Here is a 27,226-nt window from a genome sequence, read left to right as displayed (position 1 = left end):
GCGTATACTTTTTAGCATGTCAGTATTTTTATTATGTTGCCCTCCTTGTCTTTGATAACTGCCTGTGGACGCTGTGTAAACTTTCTGGTAAAAATCCTTTTTTTTCCCCCTGTAGTCTCTCCATTTCAAGGACTAAAACAGTCTTGCGTTAAGTAAAAACCTGTGACCAGAGCTGAAGGAAGACTCTAGGACTGAAAACTGCAACAGAAATTAGCACAATTTGAAAACAAAACAAAATTGCAAAAGCCTTAGTTGCTTTTTCCACCTAAGAAGTTGATCAATGGAGAAAATGTCCACTGGAGTTTGAATAATGAACTTTGAGTTTGGGTGCAAGCAAATGACTCAGAGAAGGGTCCAGCTCTCAAGCTGAATGACAAACATGCTGTTGTAAATTTAGTCTCAGGTGTAAATACCCAAGCCCTCTGGTACCCAGGGAGCTGGCTGGTCTGTGGTGCATGTGTGTCCCTGTGATGGCAATCATTGTAGTTGCTGGCCTTCAGAAGAATTGAGGATCTGATGGAGGTTTTTTATGTATTTATTTTCTGTTCACCTTGTGACCCTGTGTCAAAATTTATAAAGATACAAAAGGCATTACTGAAATGGTACTTTCTGTAATTTGATACTATTTGGCTTAATCATCTTCACTTGACTATTTGTAATACTGTTGTAATGTTAACTCTGTTAAGTACCCAAGCTGCTTGTCTTCCACCAAAGAGTGCTTTATTAACAAGAATCTGTGAAAATCACATTTAAACACTGTTGCATGTTGTAAGACCAGGTGGTACCTTAGTAACCTAAAACTTGCAAGAGAATATTAATGGTAGCTTTAGAAGACTCAGGAGGAGAAACTGACTTCAGAGTTGGAAGATGTTGCAAGTCGTTCCTTTTTCTGTCCTTCAGGGACTGAAGAACTGGGAGGCTGCCCATTGTTTGGTTGCCAGTCATACAAATTAAAATCATATTTCCTTCCATGAATGGAAGAAACACACTATTGGTTTTTCCCCTTGGAAACAGCAATCCCAAATAATGTCGGCTTACAAAAAAAAAAAGTTACCACTTTTTTAGAGTCCTTCCCTGTAACATTGGATTTTTTTTTTCCCTTATGAGATCCACCTAAGGCCATTGACGTGGCCTGCGATCTCAGTGACAATGATCTGCTTCTGGATCTCACTGTTGCCTTTGGTTAGGGAACACAACTAGTAACTCTGCAGAGTGCCTTCTCCCGCAGCCCTACTGGAACACAGCAGAGTCTGTGCCATGAAGCAGTTACAGAAACAGAATTGATGTGCTGCTAAAAAAAAAAAAAAAAATGGGGCCCGAAATAAAAGAATATATAGTACTCACCTCAGTTCCTTCCATAAGAAGTGGGTGGTTTAATGATTGTTAAGCCATTTTTGCCTGTGCCGGGAGCATGGAGGGCTGAGATGTCGACAGGCAGTGGGAAACAAATGCCCTCCTAAGCCACAAGGCGTGCGCCAGATTAGTAGGCAACTCCATTTTAAGAAGCTGCCTTTTTCACAAAACTGGAAGAAATAAAAGCGGTTGGAATAAACAAGTTAAAAGTCTTTAATGCAAAAAGTAATTGAAAGGCAGTGCCTCCATTTTGGTGTACTTTCTTGGAAGAAAGTATAAAATTGACCGGCATCATGAGAGACGGAAGATGCCGTGTTCTCAGCCAAACAAGCAACTCTTTCCCCGCCAGGCACTGTCGGGTGGGGTCAGGCCAGCTTTTAAACACTGGGGACTGGATCACAGAAAAACAGTGGTTTTCTGTCCCTGGAAATGAATAGGCACAAAGACCCACTTGGCTGTGGGCAGACTACTCTTCAATAAGATTTGGGTGGGAGGAGGAACATTCCTTTTGCTATTTTGAGCTGAGACAATATAAATATTCAAACTGTGCCATGCATAAAGCATTGAATTCTCAGGGCACCTCTTCTTCCCCTTACCCCTTTTAAGGCCATCCCCTCCATTAATAATAATCCAGGTAGTTGTGAAAATCGTGCTTCTATCTGATCCCTTCTTAGTTTGGCTTTTCATCCCATCAGAACAAGTAAACGTAGGCGCCACAGCTCTTGTGAGTACTGTCTCCCTCACGGTGAATGAGCCTCCTGGTGTTTCGTCCAAGAAAAGAAAGGGTGTCACTGGAACCACAGCCCTTTTTCATTTTATAAACTGCCTCTTCATGTTGCCTGCTCAAGTTTCCACCTAGAATTGCTATCACTGTGGCTCTTTCTAAAAATCTTTCTATTTAACTGGTTCACTGAAATTAGTCATAGAAAACTTGTGATTTGGTGAAGAGGCATTCCTTGTAATAACCAAATGACTTGGGATGGTGTGCATAGCAAGGGCAGTGTTACACTTATGAGGACTGTCTCTAGCATCCAGGAAGTCTCTGGGTCTGAGGGATGGAAAGTTCTTCCTGCTATGAATGAGAGTGGACTCTTCCCCTCACCCCCAACTGAAACCACAAACAACCAGAATCTTCTGGAATTCTGACTTAGAGTCGTTGTTATAGAAGACCTTGTTGCTATGGAACATGAAACTGTGTGTCAGATGGAGAGATCCCCTTAACCTAAGAGCCTTAAATAGCCCTGAAAGTACACTGGGACGGTTTGCGATGGAATTAAAATTGGAAGTGAATATTTTTAGGTGCTCTTGAAGCTTTCTGGGGACTCAAAATTATCAAAAGTCAGGGACAGTCCGGAGGAAGAGCGTCTGCAAAACTGGGTTCCTAGAAGTATAGACGGACTTAGCTTTTTGTAGAATTTGGTGAGGAGCAGCGCCTCGTGAGAGCAGAATGGCCTGGCGTGGCCAGTGCTTCCCGGCAGCACGCAGCTCTGCGGCCTCCAGAATTCCCCTGTTCTGAGCTTGATGCCCCTAGCCTGTCCCCTACCTACTTCCTCCCCTCCTCTCTAGCCCTCTCACAGGGGTGATTGCTACCTCTCTGTTTTCTTGGGCCTAGGCAAGTTTTAGAGGAGTTCCCAAGCATTGTTATGAGGCCAGTGTGCTCGCTGGGCTGGGCGGGATGGCCTGGGCTTGTGTGTGGCCTGAGGGCTCTCCTGGGGCCTTCTCTTTTCCCAGTCACCTTTGGAGCCACAGAAGCAGTGCACTCATTGGATGTCTGTTCTTAACACAGCTTCTCTTTCTACATTAAAAAAAATCATTATTGCATTTTGGAAAGCAGTGCTCATCAAAAGCAACTTTTAAAACCTATTTTATTGTTCCTTTAAATGTTCTCTCCCGCTGAAACTGCCCTGGAGAGGCTATCTGCTGCTCTTCCATTTACCCACATCAGGTTATTCTCCATGTCACTCAGTGGAGATGACTCCAGATGTGTTTAAAGACTGGACAATTCACCTATACTGTGTAGGAAATTACCTCCTTAATTACCTGGTAGAATTGTCAGCAGACATGTTCATCCGATGATAGTACTGCAGTTTTCTATTAATAATTTGCAGACTTTTATCTAACCTGCACTCATGTACAGATTATTAAAAGTTTTAAAATGTAACTGATCAGTATTGATCAATCATTGTCTTGATTTTTTTTTACAGCGTATATTTCTAATCATATTTTTTAAAGCCAAGAGAACTGGTTGAATGAATGTTTATTTTCCTGAAGGTATTTTTAAGATAAAGCTTCCTAATGGCGTGTAAACTTTGCATATGTATGTAGTTTGATACATATTGTCACATTTGAAAATCTTGTGGGTTGTAACTGGTTTTATACAAAATATCGAATAGTGGAAATTGTATAATTACAATCATGTAATTAAAAGTATTAACCCAACAGCCTTTTTGTTTATTGTGTTACTTACCAAGCATTTTGAATTCTGGTAGGCAGTGGGTTAGATCATAAAGCAGAGGTAACCCGGAATCTGTGTAAGTTTTCTAGGACGGCCATAATGGAATACCCCAGACTGGGTGGCTGACACAGAAGTTCATTTCCTCACAGTTCTGGAGGCTGCAAGTCCACGACCAAGCTGTGGGCGGGCTTGGTTTCTCCCAAGGCCTCTCTCCTGGGCTTGGAGGCGCTGCCTCCTCGCAGGGCCTCTCTTTGGTGCCTGCGTGGCCCTGGTGCCTCTCTTCCCCTCTACTCCCCTCTCAAGAGGACACCAGTCAGATTGGATTGGGGCTTACCCCGATGGCCTCATTTTAACTTCACCACGTCGTTAAAGTCCCCATGTCCACATAGAGCCACATCTGAAGGGGCTGGGGTTAGGGCTTTAGTGTTTGAATCTGGAAGTTAGTCCAGCCCCCTTCTGTAGGGTAAGGTGGTGAGTGACAGGGGGCTCCTGCTGCCAGGCCATTCCTCACACCCCAGCACCAGCTCACACAACACAAAGTTTTGACTTTCTGCAGACCTCTAAAGATAAGACTTAAGTCAGTCAGGCTCTTGGGATCCTGCAGGGCATTTTGCCTGCCAAGGTCGGGCGGCACCGGCCCCAGCACCCTCCCCAGCTTGTGGTCCAACCCCGGACGCCAGACCCCTGCTTTCTACCTGCCTTGCCTCTGGTGCCGGGCAGGACCCCAAGGGCTCAGTGTCCACACCTCACACACAGCTTACTGCTGAGACTCAAGACCCTGTGTTCTGTCGAGTTCTACCCAGTTCCCCCAAGGAGCTGTGCTTGGATTCACACTGGGTTACAAGTGTCCAAAGTAAAAACCAGAGACCTGCCTTCTCGCCCCTCTCCCGACTCCACACCACACATGACCCCCCAGAGTGTTCATTTGCAGACCCTGGCTCTGTGGGAGCTGTGGCCTCTCCCTGCCCCTCCATGGCTTCCCCTGAGGCCACTAGAGCTCTCCCCTGACCCACTAGAGCTCAGGCAGCTGGCGCCACCACGCAGCTCCGTGAAGTCCCTGAGTGCTGCAAAGGGGCCGGCTTGGAGGCATTGTTTGAGATGAAACCACGAGGCATGTCTGTTCCTCCTGGGGGGCTGGGCCTTCTAGGCCTGTGGCTGGGAGGCAGCAGGCTGCAGGGACCCCTGGTCCTTAGAGACTTGTCTCCTTCCCTGTCATCTAGAGCCACTCGGCCCAGGGCCCATCCACCTTGTGCGGGATTTGCTCATCCCCTCTGCTTCCATTGCTTAAGTGAAATGGAAATGAAAAGAATCCCTACCTTAGCAGTTGGTATGAGAGTTAAAATAACACGTGGAAAGTGCTTAAAACAGTATCGGGGCATATCTTTCAATTCGCTACTTTGTCATATATTTTAGGTCATTTTCTCTAGATAATTGGGGAAAGAATGACTGATAGCAGATTACAGTCCCTCAGTTTCTGATATTTTTGGTACCTGCAGCATAATTTTATGCACAGGTAATGGTGTAAACATTTAAAAAGAGGTCACGTAAACTATTTTGCCTTGAAGTGGGGACCCACACGCTGAAGCTAAGTCTCGAGAGTGGTTGTTCAGAGGCAAGCTTGGGCCATGGGAGAGGAGCTGCAAGGGACCCTTCCCGCGGCCCCTCAGTGGACTGAAATACAAGTTGCCGTGGAAAGTGCAAGTCCCACTGGGCGTATCTGCCCCAGCTCCGCCACTTCTGTGGCCTTGGGGACCCTTGATCTGCTGGCCGAGCCTCACTTAGTTCAGTGGTACAATTGGACTAGTGAGCACCTAGCGTTTGGTTTAACAGAAGTACGTGGCTGTGCCTTAGCTGGGGGACTGTGACATCAACTTTGCCGTCTCCCCCTCCTCTGTGTGTCTAAGTGCAGCTATGGGTGCATTGGAAAGGAGCATCTAGGGAGGAATTCTCCAAGAACACGAGCTTTAGCTCCTCTGTAGCACGCCCTGACTAGCTGCCACACTCTCCCGGTTGACGTCTTACTGTCAGAGCACTGCATCCGTGTTCTGCAGAAATTCTTCCTGGGCGGTGCTGGCTATTTCCTTAGGATAAATTCTTACAAAAGGGGTTTCTGGGTCAAAAATTTGTAAGACGTTAAAGCTTTTGCTGTACACTGTGTGAAAAAGCAGCTTGGTACAATTGTTGAGAACATGCATTCTGGGCCCAGGCTGTTTGCAAACCTAAGTGCTGCCACTTAGCTTAGATTTGGGCTAAGTGACTTAGGCTCCCTAAACCCGTTTCTTCTCTGAAATGGGGATGGCAGTATCCATCTTAGAGGGTTGTGTGAGGATGAAATGAAAAGTTAATATTTTTCATAGCTGAGAACAAGTGTCTGGCACACGCTAAGAGCCATATATATTTTGCCTAGTAAAAAAAATAAAATTAATGCTGTCCAGGAGAAGTGTAAAAATGCACAGTCGCCGCTGCCCGCTCCTCTCCCGTTAGCAGCTGTTGTGACGCTGGTGAGCTGCTCAGTTAATAGCAGGACGCTGGCCTCAGCGCCGTGGGTAGGGGGTCACGCTCACTGTCCTGCTGTATTATGTCGTCCTAGCTTTAGCTTTTCCACATTGATTTTGGGCATTTTGTCTTCCAAGCGGTTGGCGCAGCCTGCCCTTACGTCCTAGCCTCCCTGTGTCTATCCGTTTATTGGGGGAGAAATGGATCCCCCTGAGCAAAGCCTTCCGGATTCCTCCCCAGCGCCTCGGGGGTCCCTGGCCTGTGTGGGAGTGGGGGGCCTCCCGCCTCTGCCTCCCCGCCCCTGCCTCCCCGCCTCTAACCCCGCCTGACTCTTTGGCAGCAAGTCTGCATGGCTTTGACACGCTTCTGGACGACGCGTGCTGGGTCCACACCTAAATCCCCAGGTAAGGAGGCCCCGGCCTGGCCGCGGAGGCTCTAATGGGCCAAGTCTGTTTCTAAAGGGGTAGACGACTCCGCGTGGGAGGGCCACCGTGTGCTTTGTGCGTTGTGGGACTCGGGGAGGACAATGGTTTCTCCTGGCCCTGGGTGTGTTTCTCTGTGTTAAACGACGTCTTTTCAGGCGGGGCCGTTCTCCCTGGCGTGGGACTCCGGGGAATGCAGCGTGTCTGGCGTCCTGGCACCCGCCTACTCGGTGCCACCGGACGGTCCAGGCCCCCATGCGTTTCCCTGGCCCCGGGCTGTTGCTGCCCCCAGCTGGGAACGGCTCACTCGCTTCCAATGCCGCTTGTCCTGGGCAGTACACAGGACAGAGAAGCCGCCTCGGTGCTCTCGGGCCGGCGGGCAGAGGAAGGAGCTGGAGGAAGGGGCTTCTCGGAGGGAGGGCGCGGGACGGGCTCCCCGGGAGCGGGTCCGCTGCACCTCCTCCAGCGGGGACTTCAGGGTGGCCTGGGCGGTGGAGCCAGCGGGGTCTCCCTTGCCTGCGCCTGGATTGCGGGGTCAGCCGGGACCCAGCCGGAGGGAGACGCACGGAGCGCCCCGGCAGGACCGCGGTTGGCGTGTCCTTAAGTAGCCGCGGAGTGTCCACTCAGCACTCACTGGCCAGGCTGGAGGGTAACGGCTGACGGCCGTTCTGGGCCCCAACCCAAGTTTGCCTTGCGGTTGAGAGTTAGCGGCCCAGGAAGCTAGTCCTTGCCGTCCACACAAACTCAAGCCCTGAGACAGGCCCTGTGGTGGTGGTGGTGGTGGTAAGTACAGCGCTGTCCATCTCCTCCCTTTTCCAGCGATGGTTGGCTGTCCCAGGCTGTCACCTTTCTAGACCGGCTTCTGATCTGGCTCGGGATCCACAAGGACTAGACCTGCGGGGAAGGTCTCTCCTGGACACGCCCGTTGCCCACTGCAAGTTCTCTCCAGGTGCAATTGAAGCCTCTCAGCAGGTGCGTCTGCCTCATTCTTCCACTGGGTATTGAGCCATCAGCCCAGGGCCTTCCTTTAGGTGGGCCTCGGCCTGACTGGGTTGGGAATGGCCGGGCTGACACCCACCCTGGGATGGTAGGAGGCCCATTCCAGGCGCAGCAGGGCAGTGCTGCTGACACTTTCTTAGGCTAGGAGCCCCTGTGCGATGATCTGATGGAAGCTGAGGCCCCTCCATCTCCCCAGAAAAGTTCGCACCAAATTTTTGAAGGCTGCATCGATGGGTCAACTTAGTGACTTGCTGGCTGTGGCCACACACCCCAGGTGTGCTGTTTGTACAGATGCCGTGTGGAAGGCACCCCCGGAGATATGCAGTGATGGCAGGGTCTATTCATCAATCAGCAACACCCACGCAGCCTCACCCTGCCTGGGCCTGCCGGGGAGCCTCAGTAAAAATTCCCAGGGCATCTTTCTACCTTGGTCACAGCAACCCAGTTCCCCAAGCATGTCCCTCATAGGCCACACGGCGTTCCCATTTCTCCTGCTGTCTTTCTATCCACCTTCCCTCTTCCTGAAAACTTCCCCAGCATCACCGCTGGCTCCAGCTCTATCCTCTCACCAGCAAAACATGCAAGTTGTGGTCAGTTTGCTTAGAACTTGTCTCAGATACTTGAAACGTTTTCCTCACTGTTGCTCTGACGCAAGACCCGTGGCCAGTATCCATGTGGGCCGCCAGTACAGTTGTGCAGGTTGTTCATCGCACAACTCCAGGGAGTGCCAGGCACACTGAAGTCAATGTGAGCCAAGTTCCTGGGCAGGGGCGGGGGGCGGGGGGGGGCAGCACACATGGGTGCCCAGAAAGGGCAGCCTTGCTGAAGGCGCCCTCAGTCCCTTTGCAGGGTGGTGGTTCTTGAGAAATGTCTTACCCTGCCTCAGTGTCTGAGAACATTTGAGACTCTCAGAAGCCTCCTGTGGGTTTATGTACAAGTTGATGCCACATGGCAGGCACTCCTTACCTTACAAATGGCTTTGAGCTCCCAAAGTTATGTAATTCAGCCCTCTGGGATTGGGCACAGTTTTGTAAAGAAAGTGTTCAGGCCAGGCGCGGTGGCTCACGCCTGTAATCCCAGCACTTTGGGAGGCTGAGGCAGGTGGATCATGAGGTCAGGAGATCGAGCCCATCCTGGCTAACACGGTGAAACCCCGTCTCTACTAAAAATACAAAAAATTAGCCGGGCGTGGTGGCAGGTACCTGTAGTCCCAGCTACTTGGGAGGCTGAGGCAGGAGAATGGCATGAACCCGGGAGACAGAGCTTGCAGTGAGCCGAGATCGCGCCACTGCACTGCAGCCTGGGCGACAGAGCGAGACTCCGACAAAAAAGAAAGGGGAGGGGAGGGGAGGGGAGACGGGATGGGACGGGACGAGACTGGACAGGACGGGAGGGGACGGGAGGGGGGAGGGGACGGGAGGGGAGGGGAGGAAGAAAAGGAAGGGAAAGAAAGGAAAGGAAAGGAAGAAAGAAAGAAAGAAAAGAGTGCTCAGATGGCAGTGGTTCCCTGATTTTCCCCACAGAGGACTGATTGGCCCAAGGCGTAGCTGTGGGGGGTGTGAGAGCCTTTGCAATCTGGTTTGGGAAATTCCTGTCATCTAGAGTCCAAGGAAACTTTGTGGCCAGGCAGAGAGCTTTCCAGGAGCAACAGGAGATGTGCAGAAAAGCTGGGCTGGGCAAAGCAGGCAGGAGCCGCTAGGCCTTTAGGCCTAGGGAGCCAAGTTTTAGTCCCATCCGGTTTACATGGAGAATACCTGAGCGTGGGCCCTCTGCACTGCTGCAGTGTGCAGTACCCTGCTAGGCACCATGGCCATCGCCACATGGCTCAGAGTGGCTGAGCACAGAGGCAAACACTCCATGTCTCCTTTCATCCCCTGCCTGAGGTACAGGCATCCCTTTTCCTGTCCCCTCTCCTAACAGCTTTGCCCAAGGGACTAGTCCTTTCACTGGAAATTTCAGGAGTGTGTAGAAAGGATGTGGGGCTCAGGGACTGAATCTGGTTTCAGTTTCTACCTTCCCTAATAGTAGCCAGGTAGCAAGAAAGACAGCGTCCTTGCCTGACTGTAAAATGACAAGGCACGACAAGACAGGGCTCCCAGGCTCTCAAGCAAACGCTCTGCTCCTTCAGTAACCAGGCTTTGCCATAGGTGCAGGGGGAAAGCGGGTAGGAGGAGGGGCATCCTTCGGACTTAAAGTCTGAAAGACTTCTTTGAAAAGGCAGCACTGGCGTGGAGGGGAGCGCCTGGAGGCAGCGCGAGTCCTGGGAGCGCGGGGATGAGGTGGTGATCAGCATGGTCCACGTGGCCAGGCTTTGGAGGAAAACGTGGTTACAAGGCAGTTCTGCACTTTTTTTAAGAGATGAAGTTTTTCTCTGTCACCCAGGCTGGAGTGCAGTGGCATGATCATAGTTCACTGTAACCTCAAACTCCTGGGCTCAAGCCATCCTCCTGCCTCAGCCTACCAAGTAGCTATGACTACAGGTGTGTGCCACCCACCTAATTTTAAAATTTATTGTAGAGACATGGTCTTACTGTGTTGCTCAGGCTGGTCTTGAGCTCCTGGCCTCAAGCAATCCTCCCACCTCAGCCTCCCAAAGTATTACAGGTGTGGGCCACCATGCCCAGTCTAGTTTTGCACTTTTATCTGTATCTTATTTGATAATAAAAAGGCTTTAAAATATCCCTGCATTTTTTCTTCCTCATTCCCTTTTCCACACCTCATCCTCCATCCACAACACAGGCCCCCTGTGGGACACAGCCAGGCCAAAGCCTCTCACGCCCGCAGCCCACCCCAGGTTGTCTGAAGCAGGCATGAGTGTCGGGAGGGTTCAGGGAAGGCTGTTCACATGGGCCACGGTCCTTGCAGAAGGCTGAGAGGAGACAGCAGCAGCCAAAGAAAATGAGCAAATCTGTCTTCTGTGTCTACAGCGGAGGCCGCCATGTGGAGAGAGCAGGCAGGCCCACTGCTGCTGAGAACAGGGCAGGCACGGGCAGCTCCTGTTCTGCCTTTCCCAGCTTCGGAGACGCAGGCTCAGCTGCTCCGAAGCACCTGCCAGCACCGCACAGTACAGTTTCAGAGGACAGCAGTCTCCTTCCCGTGAAGCTCCCATGTGCTGGAATGGCATGGACTTGCTGATCAACAGAAGGAAATGGTCTGAAGTCTGACCAGCACAAGGAAGGAGGCTGGCTGGCTCAGAGGGGCCCACCTTGCGTGGAATGAAAACGCCAAAGGCTCATGAGCAACATTAGGCTAGAGGGGTCTTGTTCAAAGCATCCAACTCTGACTTCGGAGGCATTCCCAGCCGGCAGCAGTGTGTCCAGCCTGCCTCTTCCCAGGCTGGTCTGACATGCAGCTTAGGCTTTCATCCCAAGTTAGGTACTGACCCCTCCCTCTTGGGCAGCACCTCCCTTTTTAAAAAAATTTTTTTTTCTTCCAAAGACAGAGTCTTGCTCTTGTTGTCCAGGCTGGAGTGCAGTGGCGCGATCTAGGCTCACTGCAACCTCCTTCTCCCAGGTTCAAGCGACTCTCCTGCCTCAGCCTCCTGAGTAGCTGGGATTATAGGCGTCTGCCACCACGCCCGGCTAATTTCTGTATTTTTAGTAGAGACAGGGTTTCACCATGTTGGCCAGGCTGGTCTCGAACTCCTGACCTCAAGTGATCTGCCTGCCTTGGCCTCCCAAAGTGCTGGGATTACAGGTGTCAGCCACCGCACCCAGCCAAGCACCCCTATCTCTAGAGGATCTGGCCCCCCAGCCCAGTTACTGCAGGGCAGCTTTCCCCACCTGGTGACAGGCTGTGCGCAGCAGCCCCAGGACCTCACCCTGAGCTGAGTCTTCAGGAGCCGCCCTGGTGGCACAACTCAGACACCCCTGAGGCCTAGCAGTCAACTCCTGATTCAGACATGATCCAGTCCAGCCTGGGCTTGGCTATAACCAGCTCAAACTTGCTTGACCTCCACTTTTCAGGAGACTTGGGGACGACAGCCCTCATCGGCGTCTTTCATGGGGTTAATCTGCTTGAGTCTAAGTCGCCAGCCAGAAACGTGGTGCCCAGGGTGCCCTGCCTCAGGACATGTCCACACCCACGTCACAAGCACCTGAGGAGTCCGGCCGGGGCACTGTGGTCCAAAAGGTCCTGCCGCCTCCGCATCTGACTGTCCCAACGGCATGCTGGTGACACCCCCCTGCCCTTCGCTTCTGTCCTCCCTGGCTTCTCTGGGGCACTTGGGGCTATGTACAACCTGGCACGATCCAGAAAGGGTGCAAACAAAATGCCTACATCCAGGCACACGACCAAGTCAGCGAGAGCTAGCCCTGGTAAGCAAACATAGCCCATTACAGGTTCAGAACGTGCACCGGGTTCCCCAAAACTGTCTTCAACCACATGACTCAACAGCTCTATGGGATAGGAACTGTCAGTGTTTTTGCAACTGCAACATTAAACCAAGTGCTGTGGGCTTTTCAAGTATTATTCACAACACTAAAGGAAAGTTTCTTCAAAGGGCTCTCTGGCTAATCTTCAAAGCCGCAGTTAGGCAAAATGACAGTGTGACAGCTTCAAAGCCACTGACTCATGACACAGCCCTGATGTTGTACCGGCTAGGTTCAGATTTCAGAAATCAGGGCACTTGCATCCATTGCCTTTTCCAGGAAAGGGAAGAAAACACTCAGTTGATAAACCTTAGTACTCAGATAATAAATAAGAGACCAAAAGTAGGCTATCACCCAAAGCAAACATCCTTAACTGACCCTAACGTGTATGGATTCAACTTTGATTATTCAACAAAATCATGACCGACTGCTGTGGCCTGGAGTAACCAAAGGACTGTTTTCTCTACACAAAGTCAGGAGCGAATACCAACCTTTATTTGCACTTGGGTTCCAGTTCAAAGCCACCTTAGACAGTGTGGCAAAGTGGGAAAAAGCACAGATCCTGGGACCAAGGTTCAGATTCCATCTCAAGCGAGCATATGAACTGTGTGACAACAGGCAGACAGTACCTCTGTGTCTATGAGAAAGCGGGGAGAGCAACACCCCAGCTTCTAGCAGCTCTACAGCTGCCTGGACCTGCAGGCCCTCCTAGGCCCACTTCCTCCCCAGCACAGTGTGTGTTCCCGGGCGTGTGTGGCTCTGGGTCCAGCTCTGTTCAGGGTGGGACTCCAGGTGAATTACTGAACCTCTGAGGTGTACCCCCAACCCCAAACTTTCACCAAAAGCAATAAAGAGGAACTCTAGAACTGGAGCCAGGACTAAGTGAGAAAAACTGCTTATAAGTGCTTAATAAATACTAGTTATTTACAACTTTTGCTCAAGCCGAGGGCAGAGGCCTTTGTACGCAGCTGCCGAACTCTGACTCTAGTTCTGCGGAAGAAAAGGATGCGGTATTTGCTTTTGCCATGATCCCTTTCCATTTGATTGGCAGGTTAAATAACATGGTTTTTGAAGTCACATACTTAATATTCTTCCTAAAAACCACCCAAACACTAGATGTGTGTGTGCACACACACAGAAACCACGAGGTAGTTTAAATCACCATTAAAAATCAACGCTTTCTCTGATTCTGTGTCACAGAGTGGTGGCCAGTGGCTACACAATAGCGATTTTTAAATGATTGGTTAAGTGAAAACCAGAACTCAAAATATTCCAGGAGAGAAGATAACATTTACAAGTAAACAGTAAGTGCAATTGTATTTTAATTTCTTGGTCTCCGAAAACTCAGCTGTGACTGCTTTCCATTAACAGTTCCAGCTCTATGTGTTTCCTCTAACGCTAAAGGCACAGCCCCCGGGAATCTACTGCTTCCTAAGAGTCTCCATGGAGTCTATTTTACAACCTCCTTTCCCTCCATGCTTCCGCGGAGGAGTCTATACTATCTCTATATACACATTTTAAACATTATTCTTCATTTGAAATTCCTTCAATAAAAACACAGTCACCATTCTTCATCTTCTTGGGAAATGGCCTGCTCTCGAGCCTCTGGAGAAGCCCCTCTAACAGCTCAGCCCAAAAAAGTGCAACAAATTTACATGACACGGGAAAAGCAACATCTATTGTTCTTAGAGTCTGACTCCCTTGGCCCAGCTGGAAAAGTCTCCCCACAGGTGTGCAGTGCAGCTCCGCGGTGCTGGGAAACAGGGCTCTTTCAAGACAGCGCAGGGAAATCTTCCGGGTCATCTGGGTTGGGGGCAACATCTTGCATCTAAAGAAAAAAAGAAATACTTTGAAATCCACTGCCCCTTCATCCATTCCCGATATCCCAGTGGGATAACAAGGGCCTGGCACCAACGCTGAGGGGCCTGCATTAGAGGCAGGACCCACAGTGGGAAGGGGAGAGTCACAGGTCACTGCTAACCCAGGAAAGTACAGCTCCCCCTCCCACACAGGCCTCCAGCCTCCTCGAAAAAGGAGCTGCCTCCCTTCCTACGTCCTGCAAGCTCTTACTGGGGGTTCTGCATGGGCACGTCCTTCATCGAGTAAATAGAATGGTTACTGCGTGCCGGGCACTGGAGGAGCACAGACAGTGCCTATCCTCGGGGAGCTCACGGTGCTGGAGAAACTGACCATCGAATCAGGAGCTTCACTAACACGTCCTGGGAAGGAGGGGCCACAGGAGGGCCATCCAGTGCAATTTGGTGGCACAGTGGACACCAAGGTCAGGCAAGGTTTTGTGGGAAGAGAAGGTTCTCCCTGGGATGAACCTCAATGGATGAGCAAAGGGAACAAGGACTTGGATTGGGAAACAGTGTGACCTGATGGGGGCGGGGGCGGGCCCTAAGGGCGGTTCTGAGGTGGAGGGATGCACAGGTTGTGGAGGTGGGGACAGATGCCAGTGAAGAGGTGGGTGGCACTGGATCTCAGAGTGGTTTCCCAACACACTCCCTGGAGTGCTGCAGGGGACAGAGCTCCGCTATAGGAAAGGAGTGAGGGTGTGTTTCCTATCGCAGAATAGACCCTATTTCCAACCTGGCCCCAAATATACCCCTACACCCCCCGCCCAAAAAATTGTGTTTTTGCTCCTGCTTAAGCAAAAACAAACCATAGACACTGCTTCCAGGGGCTGCTCCCTAGAGCGAGGGAACCGGGCAGCAGGAGGAGCATTGCCAAGACCAGCCACAGAGAAGGGGTCTGTGCCATGGGGCCTCGGGGCTGATTTCCAATGAATAAGTGTCCATACCACATTAGGAAGCACCTACTACATGCCAGGCACTGCGTGGCACTGCGTAAACCGGTAATGAGCAAAAGCAGCCGCTGACCGATAGCCACACCAGTGAGAATACAGCCGCACACGGAGATCAGGCTTCAATGAAAAGAAACTCCTTTGCTCCGAGACCTTGATCGGTCTAGGAGATGTGATCAAAGAAACCTGTGAGGAAGTGAGGCTGGAAGGATGAATGGAGGCCAGCAGGCAGAGGCCAGGGGTAAGGAGCGTGCTGTGTTGAGAGCTAGAATCAGGCAGCCTTGGCTGAGGACGGTGTGAGGCAGGTGAGCCGGGGAGGGGTTGAGGAAGGTCCCCTCACAAAGGGCTTGAGATCTTAGGGAGGATTCTGTCCACTCTGACAGCATCACCTGAGCCCAAGGCACACAATCAGGCCACAGTAAGCAAAACGTCAGGTGCTCCAGTTCAATCCCAAGCCTGGGGATCTTGTCTAATGCGGGTGACAGTGAGTTTCTCTCTGATCCCGGGAGTGCCTTCACAGCAGACCCTGGAAGCCAGGGCTACAGAACGGTCTCTAGGCAAGATGTCCATGATGCTACAACACCGTCCAAATGCCCCAACATCAGTCCCACACTAGCTACAGAAAGAAGTGACTGCAGAAACTCATGACCCTCTGAAATTAGACCATCCTGGGCCCAGGGCACTGTCCTTATTAACTTCTTTCGCCAAACCGTCAATACAGACACCTACCACCACTTCTGCTCTGGGTCCATAGTTCTCTGCCCTCCTGATCCTTCCCCGGCCTCCCCGGGTGCCTCCTCTGGCTCCACGCCCAGGACGAGGGAGGTTACCAAAATTAATCTCCAGCTGGGATGTGATGTCATTGGCGGGTTTCCGGAAAACATGGGAATCGTCCTCATAGTCATCTTTTACCATCTGAAACACAATTACAGCATCAAACACGCACAAGTCCACAGCCATCCCCACACTCATCTGGCTTAGTGGCTGCAGTGTGCTACACAGGAGCTAAAACACCATCAGGGGCTAGTCAGAGCCATTCTCTGGATTTGTCTCTGGCCCTGGGCTGCAGAGCTGGACAAAGGAAGACAGCACTGCTGTTCTGATTCTAAGACAGTGAGTTCTGTATGTTCTAGAGTCCCACATTCTTGCAATTACAATCTTAATCCAAACATCTTTGAACTTATTATGATTTCAAGTGGGACCAAATTTCTATCAGCTGAGCAGGTTAAGATATAAGATTTGGCATGACTAATAATAGCAAACAATATACATGTTTTATATCTAAGTGTATTTTGCTGAGATAAAAAAGTTTTCATTTCTGCTTATTTTCTGTCTTATCTGTTCACAAATGCTTTGATAAATAAGGAAATATCCCCTTCCCAGAACAGAACTTAACAGAGAAATTCCTTTCAGCATGGGTGCTGATTATAATACCATGTGCTAAAAATCACATGATTTATAATAAACAATTCTGACTCAAAATATAGAGAAACTTTATAAAAACAAGAGTATGGTTACCTGAGTGTTCTACCAACACTGCACAAAGAAGTCAAGCTGCTTTTTAAGAACTGCTTTCATTAAAATTCTATCTCTTGTGACAGCTATATTAAATAAATTAATTAAATCTGATCCAAATTTGATTTGGCTTCAACTCATAATAATGGGTATCACACACACACACACACAAAAACCCCACTTTAAGTAAAGTAAAAACCTACAGAAAGGAAGATATGTCAGTGATTTCAGATGAGAATCTCCAAAGTGCTACAACATTAAACATTCCTACAACCAGGAAATGGAGCAAAGTTTCCACGAGCATATCAACACCTTTAGGCCATATGCTCATGACAGCCTTCATGTTTAACATTTGTGTCCCCTTTGAGGTCTCAGGTTAAAATAAAGCAGAGGCTTTAGGTAGTTGGATGCTTAATGCTAAAAAGGTGAAGAAAAACAGTCCAGGAGCACTGGCATTCTGTAAAAAGATACACACAAAAAATAGTAACAGGCAAAATACTCAACCCTTGCCTTGTTTGGCACTCAGCAGGGAAGCGCTGGTAAGGTCTCCCTGGGGTCCCTGCTCTGAGTCGCCTCCCACTGCAGGAAGGGGCAGGAAGGGCCTCGGGGCAGTGGAGCAGGGAGTGGACACAGTCTAAGGCTTGGGCTCCACTTGCAGCTCCAGCTGGCCCTGGCCCAAGTGCTTTCACCGCCCAGTGCCTTACGCGAGGTTGTTACTAGGTCTGAACTTTGCTAGGTATTCTAGTGCTTCTGCCTCTTCAGGTGTCCAGAACAAAGTAAACTGATGAACCCAAGATCTGGCTTGTGTTGCTTTAAGAACAATTCCTAGCTAAAATCTTCAATCCTCCAAGATTAACAAGGACCAAGATGTGTGCTTCACTGAGACCAGGCTTGATGACTCAGCTAACCCACTTGCTTCAAATATTCTGGGAGACCTCTGGAGCCCGGGAGGACAAATCTGGTGTGGATTAAGAAAGAGCAGCTTCTATTTTTACCTAACATGTCAGCTGCATATTTCAATCCTGACAGCACATTTGTTTTAGAGAAATTTTTATTTACAATGCCTAGAACAAAAAAGAACAAAGGAAGTGGACAGGTTAAGAACCAACCCAGCTTGCTAATGGAGTTAGAAAACACCTCCCAGAGATTGCCAGGGAAATAAAGCTCCGGCCGCCTATGTCTACAAAAAGCCATTTCTTGTGGAACAGCTCAAAACTCAGTAAGGCCTCCTACAGCTTGGACTGACCAAAACAAGAGGATGGGAGAGAATCCTGTATCTTTTTTTTTGTTTTGTTTGGAGACGAAGTCTCACTTTGTTGCCCAGGCTGGAGTGCAATGGCGTGATCTCGGCTTGCTGCAACCTCTGCTTCCCGGGTTCAAGCGATTCTCCTGCCTCAGCCTCCCGAGTAGCTGGGACTACAGGCACCCGCCAACCGCCCGGCTAGTTTTTGTATTTTTAGTAGAGACAGGGTTTCACTATGTTGGCTAGGCTGGTCTCGAACTCCTGACCTCAGGTGATCCACCTGCCTTGGCCTCCCAAGAACCCTGTATCTTAAATGACACCTAATCAAAGTACTCACTCAGAAAATGAAACTAACCAAAGTGTAAATGACAACTCTACAATAGCATAACATTCCTGAGATTCCACATGAAAATCAATAACTAATACCCCACAGAGAGGAAGAACCTGCTACCTGCTCACTCCCACCTCGAAATAGTGACTGGTATCAAGCTGTAGATGGAATGATACAGATTCTAAATCCCATAATGGGAATGCTTCAGTGGACCTAGCCTTAAGTTCAGTAACAAGTCGGGGACTTGATGACCCCATGGCATCCCTATCAACATATGCTGCTAGATGTTTCCCCGAAACCTCTCCCTGCAAAACTGAAGCTTCTGAGAAGAGCTGGACGTAAGCCGTGAGCAATAAGGCCTCACAACACGGAGGAGCTCCCTGAGCAACCCCTGCAGCACGCTGGCCGCTGTGGCAGTGCCTGACCGAGCAGCCAAGCGTTCGGGGACTCATCTCCCGCCACGTCTGCAGTTAGGCAGGGGGCGCAAAGCTGCTGAACCAACATGGGAAAGGCGTCAGAAGTGCATGGAACCTCAACCACAGTTTAAAAAGTCATCAACTACTCGGCCAGGTGCAGTGGCTCACGCCTGTAATCCCAGCACTTTAGAAGGCTGAGGCTGGTGGATCACCTGAGGTCGGGAGTTCAAGACCAGCCTGACCAACATGGAAAAGCCCCGTCTCTACTAAAAATACAAAATTAGCCGGGGTGGTGGCGCATGCCTGTAATCCCAGCTACTTGGGAGGCTGAGGCACGAGAATCGCTTGAACCCGGGAGGCGGAGGTTGCGGTGAGCCAAGATCGCGCCACTGCACTCCAGCCTGGGCAACAAGAGCGAAACTCCATCTCAAAAAAAAAAAAAAGTCATCAACTACTCAGTGAAATGCTCTTATCAAGAAACAGAGTTGAAAGTAACCTACTCAGGGGACACAGAGTGTAGTTCTCCTTTGATTAACTCTGAATTGTACAAGACACAATCTGTAACTCTCCCTTGAGAAAAATGAAATACAGTTAATACACAGTATGTGTACAGTACCCGCATAGTCCCAGGGTGAGCAGAAGATGCACTGTCACTCTAACTGCTCTGTGCATCTGTCAATACCTCAAGTTTCAATTCCTTTTCTTAATGAACAATACAGTAAAATTAGGCATGCATCATCTCTGATTAGAAACAAAGACTGCCAACTACTAATGTTCCATTTTCAAGACAGAAGTGGAAAGGTACATTTCACTTCCAGTAAGGTAAAAGTAAAGATTACCTCTACATACGAAATGCAATGCTTACATCATCTCTGTATTTTGACTTGTGAATCACCACGGCTTTGGAAGGAACAGTGGATTCTGGTTTCCGGATGTTAAACTCAGGCTTTGGTCTGGTCTGTTCTTGAAGATTTTTCCACTCATCTAAAGTCATCTCTTGAACTTGGGTTTCTTCTTCTACCTCCAACTCAGGAACTCTATAAAGAGATATATAATCATAAAGAATACTTTTTGATGGTACTAAAATGTCTACTTTATAAAGAAAAAGTTATAACCATTAATTCAACATATTTTTGTGGTACTGCATTTCAAATGCAAATAAGGTAAGGAAATCTTTGACTCACAAGCTTCCATATTTCATTTTCAACATTTTATGTCATCACTGCCAACAGAAGATACTTCCTATCTGTGTTCAAATCAATCTTTGAAAAATGGGAACATCACCATCCTGATGACATTAACATCACACTTCACCACTGGCACTCCCTTCCAGACAGCATGACAGACAAAATGAGGTAATTATGGACAATGGGTTGAAATAAAATACAGGAAACCATAAACAAGTTTTAAAGCAGTGGCTCATGAATGCATACTTTTGCAAATATCCTCTTTAATGAGTTTTAAAAAGAAAACAAAAGACAGAAATATAGATTGAGAGCAAAGAATTCAGAGTCCAGAAATAAACCCTCACATTTACGGTCAACTGATTTTTTTTTTCCAACCGTGGTGCCAAAGACAATTCAATGGAGAATGAAAAGTATTTTCAACAAACGGTGCTTGGGCAACTGGATATCCACACACACCAAAAGAAAGAATGAAGTTAGACCTACCTCACACCATAAATACAAGAGCTAAAATATAAAACTCTTAGCAGAAAACCTAGGCAGAAACTTTCTTAACCCTGGACTGGGCAATGGTTTCTTCCACATGACACCAAAAAAACAAGCAACAAAAGTACATACATTGAACATCATCAGATACTTTTATACTACAAAGGACACCATCAAGAAAGTAAAAAGACAGTCCACAAAATGGGATAAAATATTTACAAATAATATATCTCACAAGGGACTTGTATCTAGAATACATAAAGAATTCTTTATGAACAGCCAAGCGTGGTGGCTCATGCCGATAGTCCTAGCTACTCAGGGGGCTGAGGTGGGAGGATCGCTTGAGGCCAGGCATCTGAGGCTGCAGTGAGCTATGATCACACGTGTGAATGGCCACTGTGTTCCACCTTGGGCAACAGAATGAGACACTGTCTCTTTAAAAAAAAAAAAAAGAATGCTTTATGAATTCTAGATACAAGTCCTCTTTAGTTGAGACAAATGACCACCCTCCCCCCAAAAAAGGCAAGGATCTGAGTGAACATTTTTCCAGAGAAGATATACAAATAGGCAGTAAGATGTTGCACATCATTAGCTATTAGAGAAAGACAAGTCAAAACCACAGAGCTGCACCAGTCCACACCCAGTGGGATGGTTAGAACCAAAACGACATTTGACAAGCGTTGGGGAGGATGTGGAGAAACTGGAACCCACATACACTGCCAGTGGGAATGTGAAATGGTGTAGCCTCTTTGGAAAGCAGTCTGGCGGTTCCTCAAAAATCTAAGCTGAGTTAGCCTCTGACCCGGAAATTTCACTCCTGGGTTTATACCCAAGAGAAATGAAAACACACATCCACATGAAAACTTAAACCCAAGTGTTCACTGCAGTGCTATTCATAATAGCCAAAAAGTGGACACAACCTAAATGTCTATTAACTAATGAGTGGATAAACCAAATATGGCACATTTTTTGGAATATTATCTGGCAATAAAAAGAAACAAAGTATTAATACACATTACGACATGAACAAACCTTGAAAAAATGATGCAAGTGAAATAAACCAGGCAGAAAAGACTTCTGTGTATGATTCCATTTACATGAAATATTCAGAGGAGCCAGATTCACACAGACAGGAGGCAGGTCAGTGGTGGCCAGGGCTGCAGGGAGGGAGGATAGGGAGTGACTGCTGAATGGGCATGGGGTTTCCTTTTGGGATGATAACAACCTTCTGGAGCCAGATCATGGTGATGGTTGCATAACACTCTGAATGTACTAAATGCCACTGAATTGTACACTTTAAAAGGATTAAAATCGTAGATTTGAAAATCATCACAAAAATACACACAAAAAAAGAAAAACAGAAATGAAGACTGGCACATGCTACAACATGAATGAAGCTGAAAACTTGATGCTAATAGTTAAAATAAGCCAGGTGCAAAAGGAACATTGAACGATTCCACTTAGATGAGGCACCTAGAATAGGCAAATTCATAAACACGAGTAAAATAGAGATTACTACATGCTGAGGAGAAATGGGGAGTTAGTGTTAAATGGATATAGAGTTTCTGTTTGTGATGAAAAAGTTCTACAAGGCCAGGCACAGTGGCTCAAGCCTGTAATCCTAGCACTTTGGGAGGCTGAGGCAGGCGGATCATGAGGTCAGGAGTTCGAGACCAGCCTGGCCAATACGGTGAAACCCCGTCTCTACTAAAAAATACCAGAAAAATTAGCCGGGTGTAGTGGAATGTGCCTGTAGTCCCAGCTACTCAGGAGGCTGAGGCAGGAGAATCGCTTGAACCCGGGAGGTGGAGGTTGCAGTGAGCCGAGATCGCACCACTGCACTCCAGCCTGGACAACAGAGTGAGATTCCATCTCAAAAAAAAAAAAAAAGTTCTAGAGATGGATGGTGGTGATGGTTACACACAATATGAATGTTACTGATGCCATTAAATTATATATATTAAAATGGTAAAAATGGCAATTTTTATGTTATTTTTACTGCAATTTTAAAAAATTAATAATGTAACATACCCCAAACCATCCATCCATGCATTCAGTCGTTTACTCATTTATTTGTTTGATACAGGCTGGGTTTCACTCTGTTGGCCAGGCTGGAGTACAGTGGCATGATGATGGCTCACCATACCTTCAACCTCCTGAGCCCAAGGATCCTCCCACCTCAGCTTCCTGAGAGTAGCTGGGACTACAGGTACGAGCCATCAGGCCCAGCTAATTTTTACAACCATTTTGTAGAGACGGGGTCTCTCCATGTAGCCCATGCTGGTCTTGAACTCCTGGCCTCAAGCTATCCTCCTGCCTCTGCCTCCCAAAGTGTTGGGATTACAGATCTGAACCACCACACCTGGCCTATATACTTAGAGATTTGAGTGCTATAGTACGAGAATTATATCTCAAAAGTGTTTAAGGGGAAAAAACAGGCCGGGCGCGGTGGCTCACACCTATAATCCCAGCACTTTGGGAGGCCGAGGCAGGTGGATCATGAGGTCAGGTGTTCAAGACCAGCCTGACCAACATGGTGAAACCCCGTCTCTACTAAAAATACAAAAATTAGCTGGGTGTGGTGGCACACGCCTGTAATCCCTGTAATCCCAGCTACTCGGGAGGCTGAAGCAGGAGAATTGCTTGAACCCGGGAGGCGGAGGTTGCAGTGAGCCAAGATGGCACCACTGCACTCCAGCCTGGGCGACAGAACAAGACTCTTTCTCCAAAACAAAACAAAACAAAACAGTAGGTGGGGAGTGGGGAATCAAATCTGTATCTTCACTGAAGAGCTGATGTAATTTAAGGTTCTATTATAGAAATACACAGATCAATGTTATGAAAAATATAAGCAAAATCAGTAGAGAAACCTAACCACAGAGCATCCAAAATAGACAAATTTGCAGTGACTCTACAATACCAAGCTGATGGTAGAAAAAACATCAAAGCAAAGATAACATGAAGGAATATGAAAGAACTTTCTGGCGTGATTGGTAATGTTCTGTATTCGACAGGAGTTTGGATTCCACAAGTACATGCATTTGTCAAAACAGTGAATGTACACTTAAGATTTATACATTTCATAGTATATACATTTTATATCAGAAGAAAAAATTGTAAACAAATATTAATTCTATTTAGTGATATGCATGTTGAACTATTTAGGGGGAAGTGTACAGATGTCTACAATTTATTATGAAATGTGTCAAAAAACATGGACTAATGAATACTTATGTAAAATGAATATATAAGATATAAATGGTAGCATTTAGGTAGTGGTAAGTATAGATGTTCGCTATAAAATTCTTTAAACTTTGCTGTGTTTTGAAATTTTCACAATAAAATGCTGGAAAAATACCAATATCAAAATATAGATCTCAAATATATATTGGCAAAAATATTAAAAGATACTAAGACATTGGAACAGCAAATTAATGGAAATAACCCAAACCTATCTAGAAAAGAACTTGGTGAAAAAACTATAGTATAGCAGCTAAAAAAGGAATGAGGACTATCTGTATATACTGCTATGGAGCACCTTCCAGAGTGAATGAGAAAAAAGCAAGGAGGGGTGTACAGTACCTTGGAGAGCCACACAAATATATATGCATAGCACCGATAGAGATAGATAGTTTTTTTGTTTTGTTTTGTTTTGAGACAGGGTCTCACTCTGTCACCCAGGCTGGAGTGCGGTGGTATGATCTCTGCTCACTGCAACCTCCACCTCCTGGGCTCAAGGGATCCTCTCACTTCAGCCTCCAGAGTAGCTGGGACTACAGGCATGCACCACCATACCCAGCTAATTTTTGTATTTTTTGTAGAGACTGGGTGGGGGAGGGTCTCACTTGTTGCCTAGGCTGGTCTCAAACTCCTAGGCTCAAGCAATCCACCCACTTTGGCCTCCCACAGTGCTGGGATTACAGGCATGAGCCACCGCACCCGGCCAGCATTTTTTTTAAATTGGAATATAAGCCAGGAAAACAATAGGGATAAAAGCTATTTGAAAATACCATGTTTTGGCTGGGCACGGTGGCTCCTGTCTGTAAACCCAGCACTTTGGGAGGCCAAGGCCAGTTGATCACCTGAGGTCAGGAGATCGACACAGGCCTGGCCAACATGGTGAAATCCCGTCTCTCCTAAAAATACAAAAATTAGCTGGGCATGGTGGCAGGCACCTGTAATCCCAGCTACTCGGGAGGCTGAGGCAGGAGAATCGCTTTGAACCCGGGAGGCGGAGGTTGCAGTGAACTGAGATTGCATCACTGCACTCCAGGCTCGGCAAGAGTGAAACTCCATCTCAAAAAGAAAAAAAAAAAATCATGTTTTTCAGACTGAACTTTGGAAACATGTAAATATTTTACATAATTATAAAACAGATTTAAATTAAAATTCAATCTCTAAAATTTGAAAGTAAAATGAATCAAAGTAACCTAAATGTTTATGAAACTGGTGATATAACCATCAAGAGAACTATTTCAAATGATTTTGAAATACAAATTTGATTACTCATCTCCCTCCTCGACATAACTTTTCAGTAACTGTGTTACTGAAGGTAATGTTGGTAATGCTGTGACTGTTTTATGTGCAACAAATGATTAAAAGCACAATGTTACTCAGAACTAGAATTTTCAGTATGTAAGAAAAGGAGAAACAAGCAGTCTAGGTAAAAATCCCATATCTTAACTTCGAATTGGAAATATTGAATGAACTCATATTTTATCTTATAATGTGTATGTGTGTATTTCCCATCTCTGTCCACCCAAATGCCCTGGAAACAATCAAGTCCCTGGTGGCAGTGGTTCTTTATCAAAGCAGCTTTACTAAAGAATACAGATGGGAAATACCACACAAAAAATGCTCAACATTATTAGTCATTAGGGAAATGCAAATTAAAACCACAATGAAGCTAGACACGGTGGCCCACATCTGTAATTTCAGCACTCCAGGAGGCCGAGGCAGCACTTGAGGCCAAGAGTTGGAGACCAGCCTGGGTACCAAAACGAGACCCCATCTCTACAAAAAGTAAAAAATAAGCTGGACATCAGGAGGCTGAGGTGGGAGGATCATTTGAGACCAGGAGTTCGAAGTTACAGTAAGCTATGATCACACCACTGTACTCTAGCCTGGGTGACAGAGCAAGATCTTGTCTCTAAAAAAAGAAAAAAAAAAAAACGATGACAACAAAAACCCATAATGAGATATGTACCTATTAAAATGACTGAAAGTTATAAAAACTGACCATAGCAAGTTCTAGCAAGGATGTTGGAAAAGAGTTCAGCAGCTTCTTACAAAGTGAAATATACGCATACCATTTGGTCCAACCATTCCACTCCTAGGTATTTACCCAGGAGAAATGAAAGTGTATATCCATATAAACACTTGTATATTAAAATGTTCAGGACGGGCACGGTGGCTCACGCCTGTAATCCCAGCACTTTGGGAGGCCGAGGAGGGCGAATCACAAGGTCAGGAGTTCGAGACCAGCCTGGCCAACATGGTGAAACCCCGTCTCTACTAAAAATACAAAAATTAGCTGGGTGTAGTGGCGGGCGCCTGTAATCCCAGCTACTCGGGAGGCTGAGGCAAGAGAATCGCTTGAACCTGGGAGGCGGAGGTTGCAGTGAGCCGAGATTGCACCACTGCACGCCAGCCTGGGTGACAGAGTGAGACTCTGTCTCAAAGAAAAAAAAAATGTTCATAGCAGCTTTATAGCAAAAACTGGAAACCACCCAGTGATCACCACCAGGTAAACAGATAAATGGTGGTCCACCTGTATAACAGACTACTACTCTGCAATGAAAAGGAATGAACAGATACAAATCACACAGTAAGTATGCTCGGAGAAAGAACACAGACCAAAGAAGAATACAAGCTGCATGATTCCATTCATATAAAATTATAGCAACTGCAAACTAATCTGTAGTGACAGAAAGTAGATCATTGGCTGCCGGGGGGAAATGGGGCAAGAGAGAGGGCCTACAAAGGAACGCCAGGAAACTTTGTGGGGCGATGGCTATGCTCATGATTTTGCTCATGGTGATAGTTTCACAAGTGTACAAATATATCAAAGCTTGTAAAACTGTACATGCTAAATATGTGCCATTTATTGGATGTGAATTATATCTCAAAGCTGTTTTAAAAACAGACATGAGACTAACCAATTGACATGTATATTTCAATATTATTTCAAACAAATAAATTATCTTTTTAAAAAGTTTTGAAGACAATCAGGGAAACTGAAGAAGTGTCTTGGAATTAATGATATCAAGTATATTAAAAAAAATTTAATGGAGTAATGGTATTCCAGTTATGTTATTAAAAAAGAGTAGCAGGTATAACACTGTGAAACATTTATGAGTGGTATATGATACCCTGGGGGAGGCAGAAGTTGGTAGAAATATGCATGAAACAGGAGTGGCCGTGATTTGGTAACAGCTTTAAGCTGAACAACTTACTTACAAGTTCTTTATACTACTTAATTTGTATAATTTTCCATAATATAAAATTTTAATACACAGCTAAAAATAAAGAAATATTAAGGAATCATAAATCTTCTTTAGCCTACTTGTGACAGAATTTTAAAAATCAACAGAACTGAATGCTATAAATTTGGTAATTCTTTCATACTTAAGACGACCTAATACAAGTTTATAAATTCCAGAAAATTCAATTCTAGAAAGAATAGATTTTACATTAAGGCCACAGAAGTAGTTGTTATTAACAGAGTTTGTTTGTTTGCTTAAAGGACATCATATCTAAACAAAGAACTAGATCAAAAAAGGACAAGGTATATATGAAATGCAAGCTTGAAACTGTGTATAGACACATAAAGTAAAGCATATAGTGTAATTCAGATTAGTTACAAGTTACAGCCTCCTTCAGCAGTATCAGCTTGAAGCTGTTGACTGGAATGCACCTCATTCAAGAATAGAGGCACAAATGCCCCATATCAGAGGCACGAATGCCCTGCTTATCAGCTGCAGTTTCAACAAGCCACGTTGAAAGCAGCATAGTATCACCAAGGACAGGCTCCTTAACCTTATTCCCTACCCACTAAAAGTTATTAGCAAACACACACTATGACAATCCTGTGACGCATACCCCATTTCCCATTTGATTGGTTCTGAGTACAGTTTTACCGGCAGTTTTA

General features: G+C 46.8%; 2 protein-coding genes across 34 annotated transcripts in view, besides 2 other annotated features; one reads left to right on the top strand and one right to left on the bottom strand.

The window, feature by feature from the left end:
- CDC14B (cell division cycle 14B) overlaps positions 1 to 12,966 on the top strand; it is a 128,905-nt gene extending 115,939 nt beyond the window's left edge. For 17 of the 29 annotated variants that reach the window (XM_017015248.3, XM_047424000.1, XM_017015242.3 and 14 more), the window contains one exon: positions 116 to 3,797. In XM_017015248.3, the coding sequence (XP_016870737.1) occupies positions 116 to 152 (37 nt within the window). In that variant the 3' untranslated portion in view covers positions 153 to 3,797. Of the gene's footprint in view, positions 1 to 115; positions 3,798 to 6,644; positions 6,709 to 7,545; positions 8,325 to 10,652 lie in introns of those variants that run through there. The other 12 variants (NR_147239.2, NM_003671.5, NM_033331.4 and 9 more) reach the window with 6 other exon arrangements.
- Positions 7,895 to 8,395: an enhancer, noted in NCBI's record as "H3K4me1 hESC enhancer chr9:99257792-99258292 (GRCh37/hg19 assembly coordinates)". NCBI's record gives its function as "activates a minimal SCP1, AML or CMV promoter by ChIP-STARR-seq in primed H9 embryonic stem cells {active_cell/tissue: H9 hESC(primed)}" and the evidence as "EXISTENCE:reporter gene assay evidence [ECO:0000049][PMID:30033119]".
- Positions 9,008 to 9,798: an enhancer, noted in NCBI's record as "H3K4me1 hESC enhancer chr9:99256389-99257179 (GRCh37/hg19 assembly coordinates)". NCBI's record gives its function as "activates a minimal SCP1, AML or CMV promoter by ChIP-STARR-seq in primed H9 embryonic stem cells {active_cell/tissue: H9 hESC(primed)}" and the evidence as "EXISTENCE:reporter gene assay evidence [ECO:0000049][PMID:30033119]".
- The window catches only part of HABP4 (hyaluronan binding protein 4), a 41,235-nt gene continuing 26,577 nt past the window's right edge, over positions 12,569 to 27,226 (bottom strand). For 4 of the 5 annotated variants that reach the window (XM_047423008.1, XM_047423007.1, NM_014282.4 and 1 more), the window contains exons 6-8: positions 19,272 to 19,443; positions 15,631 to 15,816; positions 12,569 to 13,923 (exon numbers count right to left, since the gene is read on the bottom strand). In XM_047423008.1, coding sequence (XP_047278964.1) covers positions 13,867 to 13,923; positions 15,631 to 15,816; positions 19,272 to 19,443 — 415 coding nt within the window. In that variant the 3' untranslated portion in view covers positions 12,569 to 13,866. Of the gene's footprint in view, positions 13,924 to 15,630; positions 15,817 to 19,245; positions 19,444 to 27,226 lie in introns of those variants that run through there. The other variant, XM_047423006.1, reaches the window with a different exon arrangement.

The sequence above is a fragment of the Homo sapiens genome, chromosome 9 (genome assembly GCF_000001405.40).
Source record: "Homo sapiens chromosome 9, GRCh38.p14 Primary Assembly".
Classification (NCBI taxonomy): Eukaryota; Metazoa; Chordata; class Mammalia; order Primates; family Hominidae; genus Homo; species Homo sapiens.
This window is presented reverse-complemented; position numbering and strand designations above follow the sequence as displayed.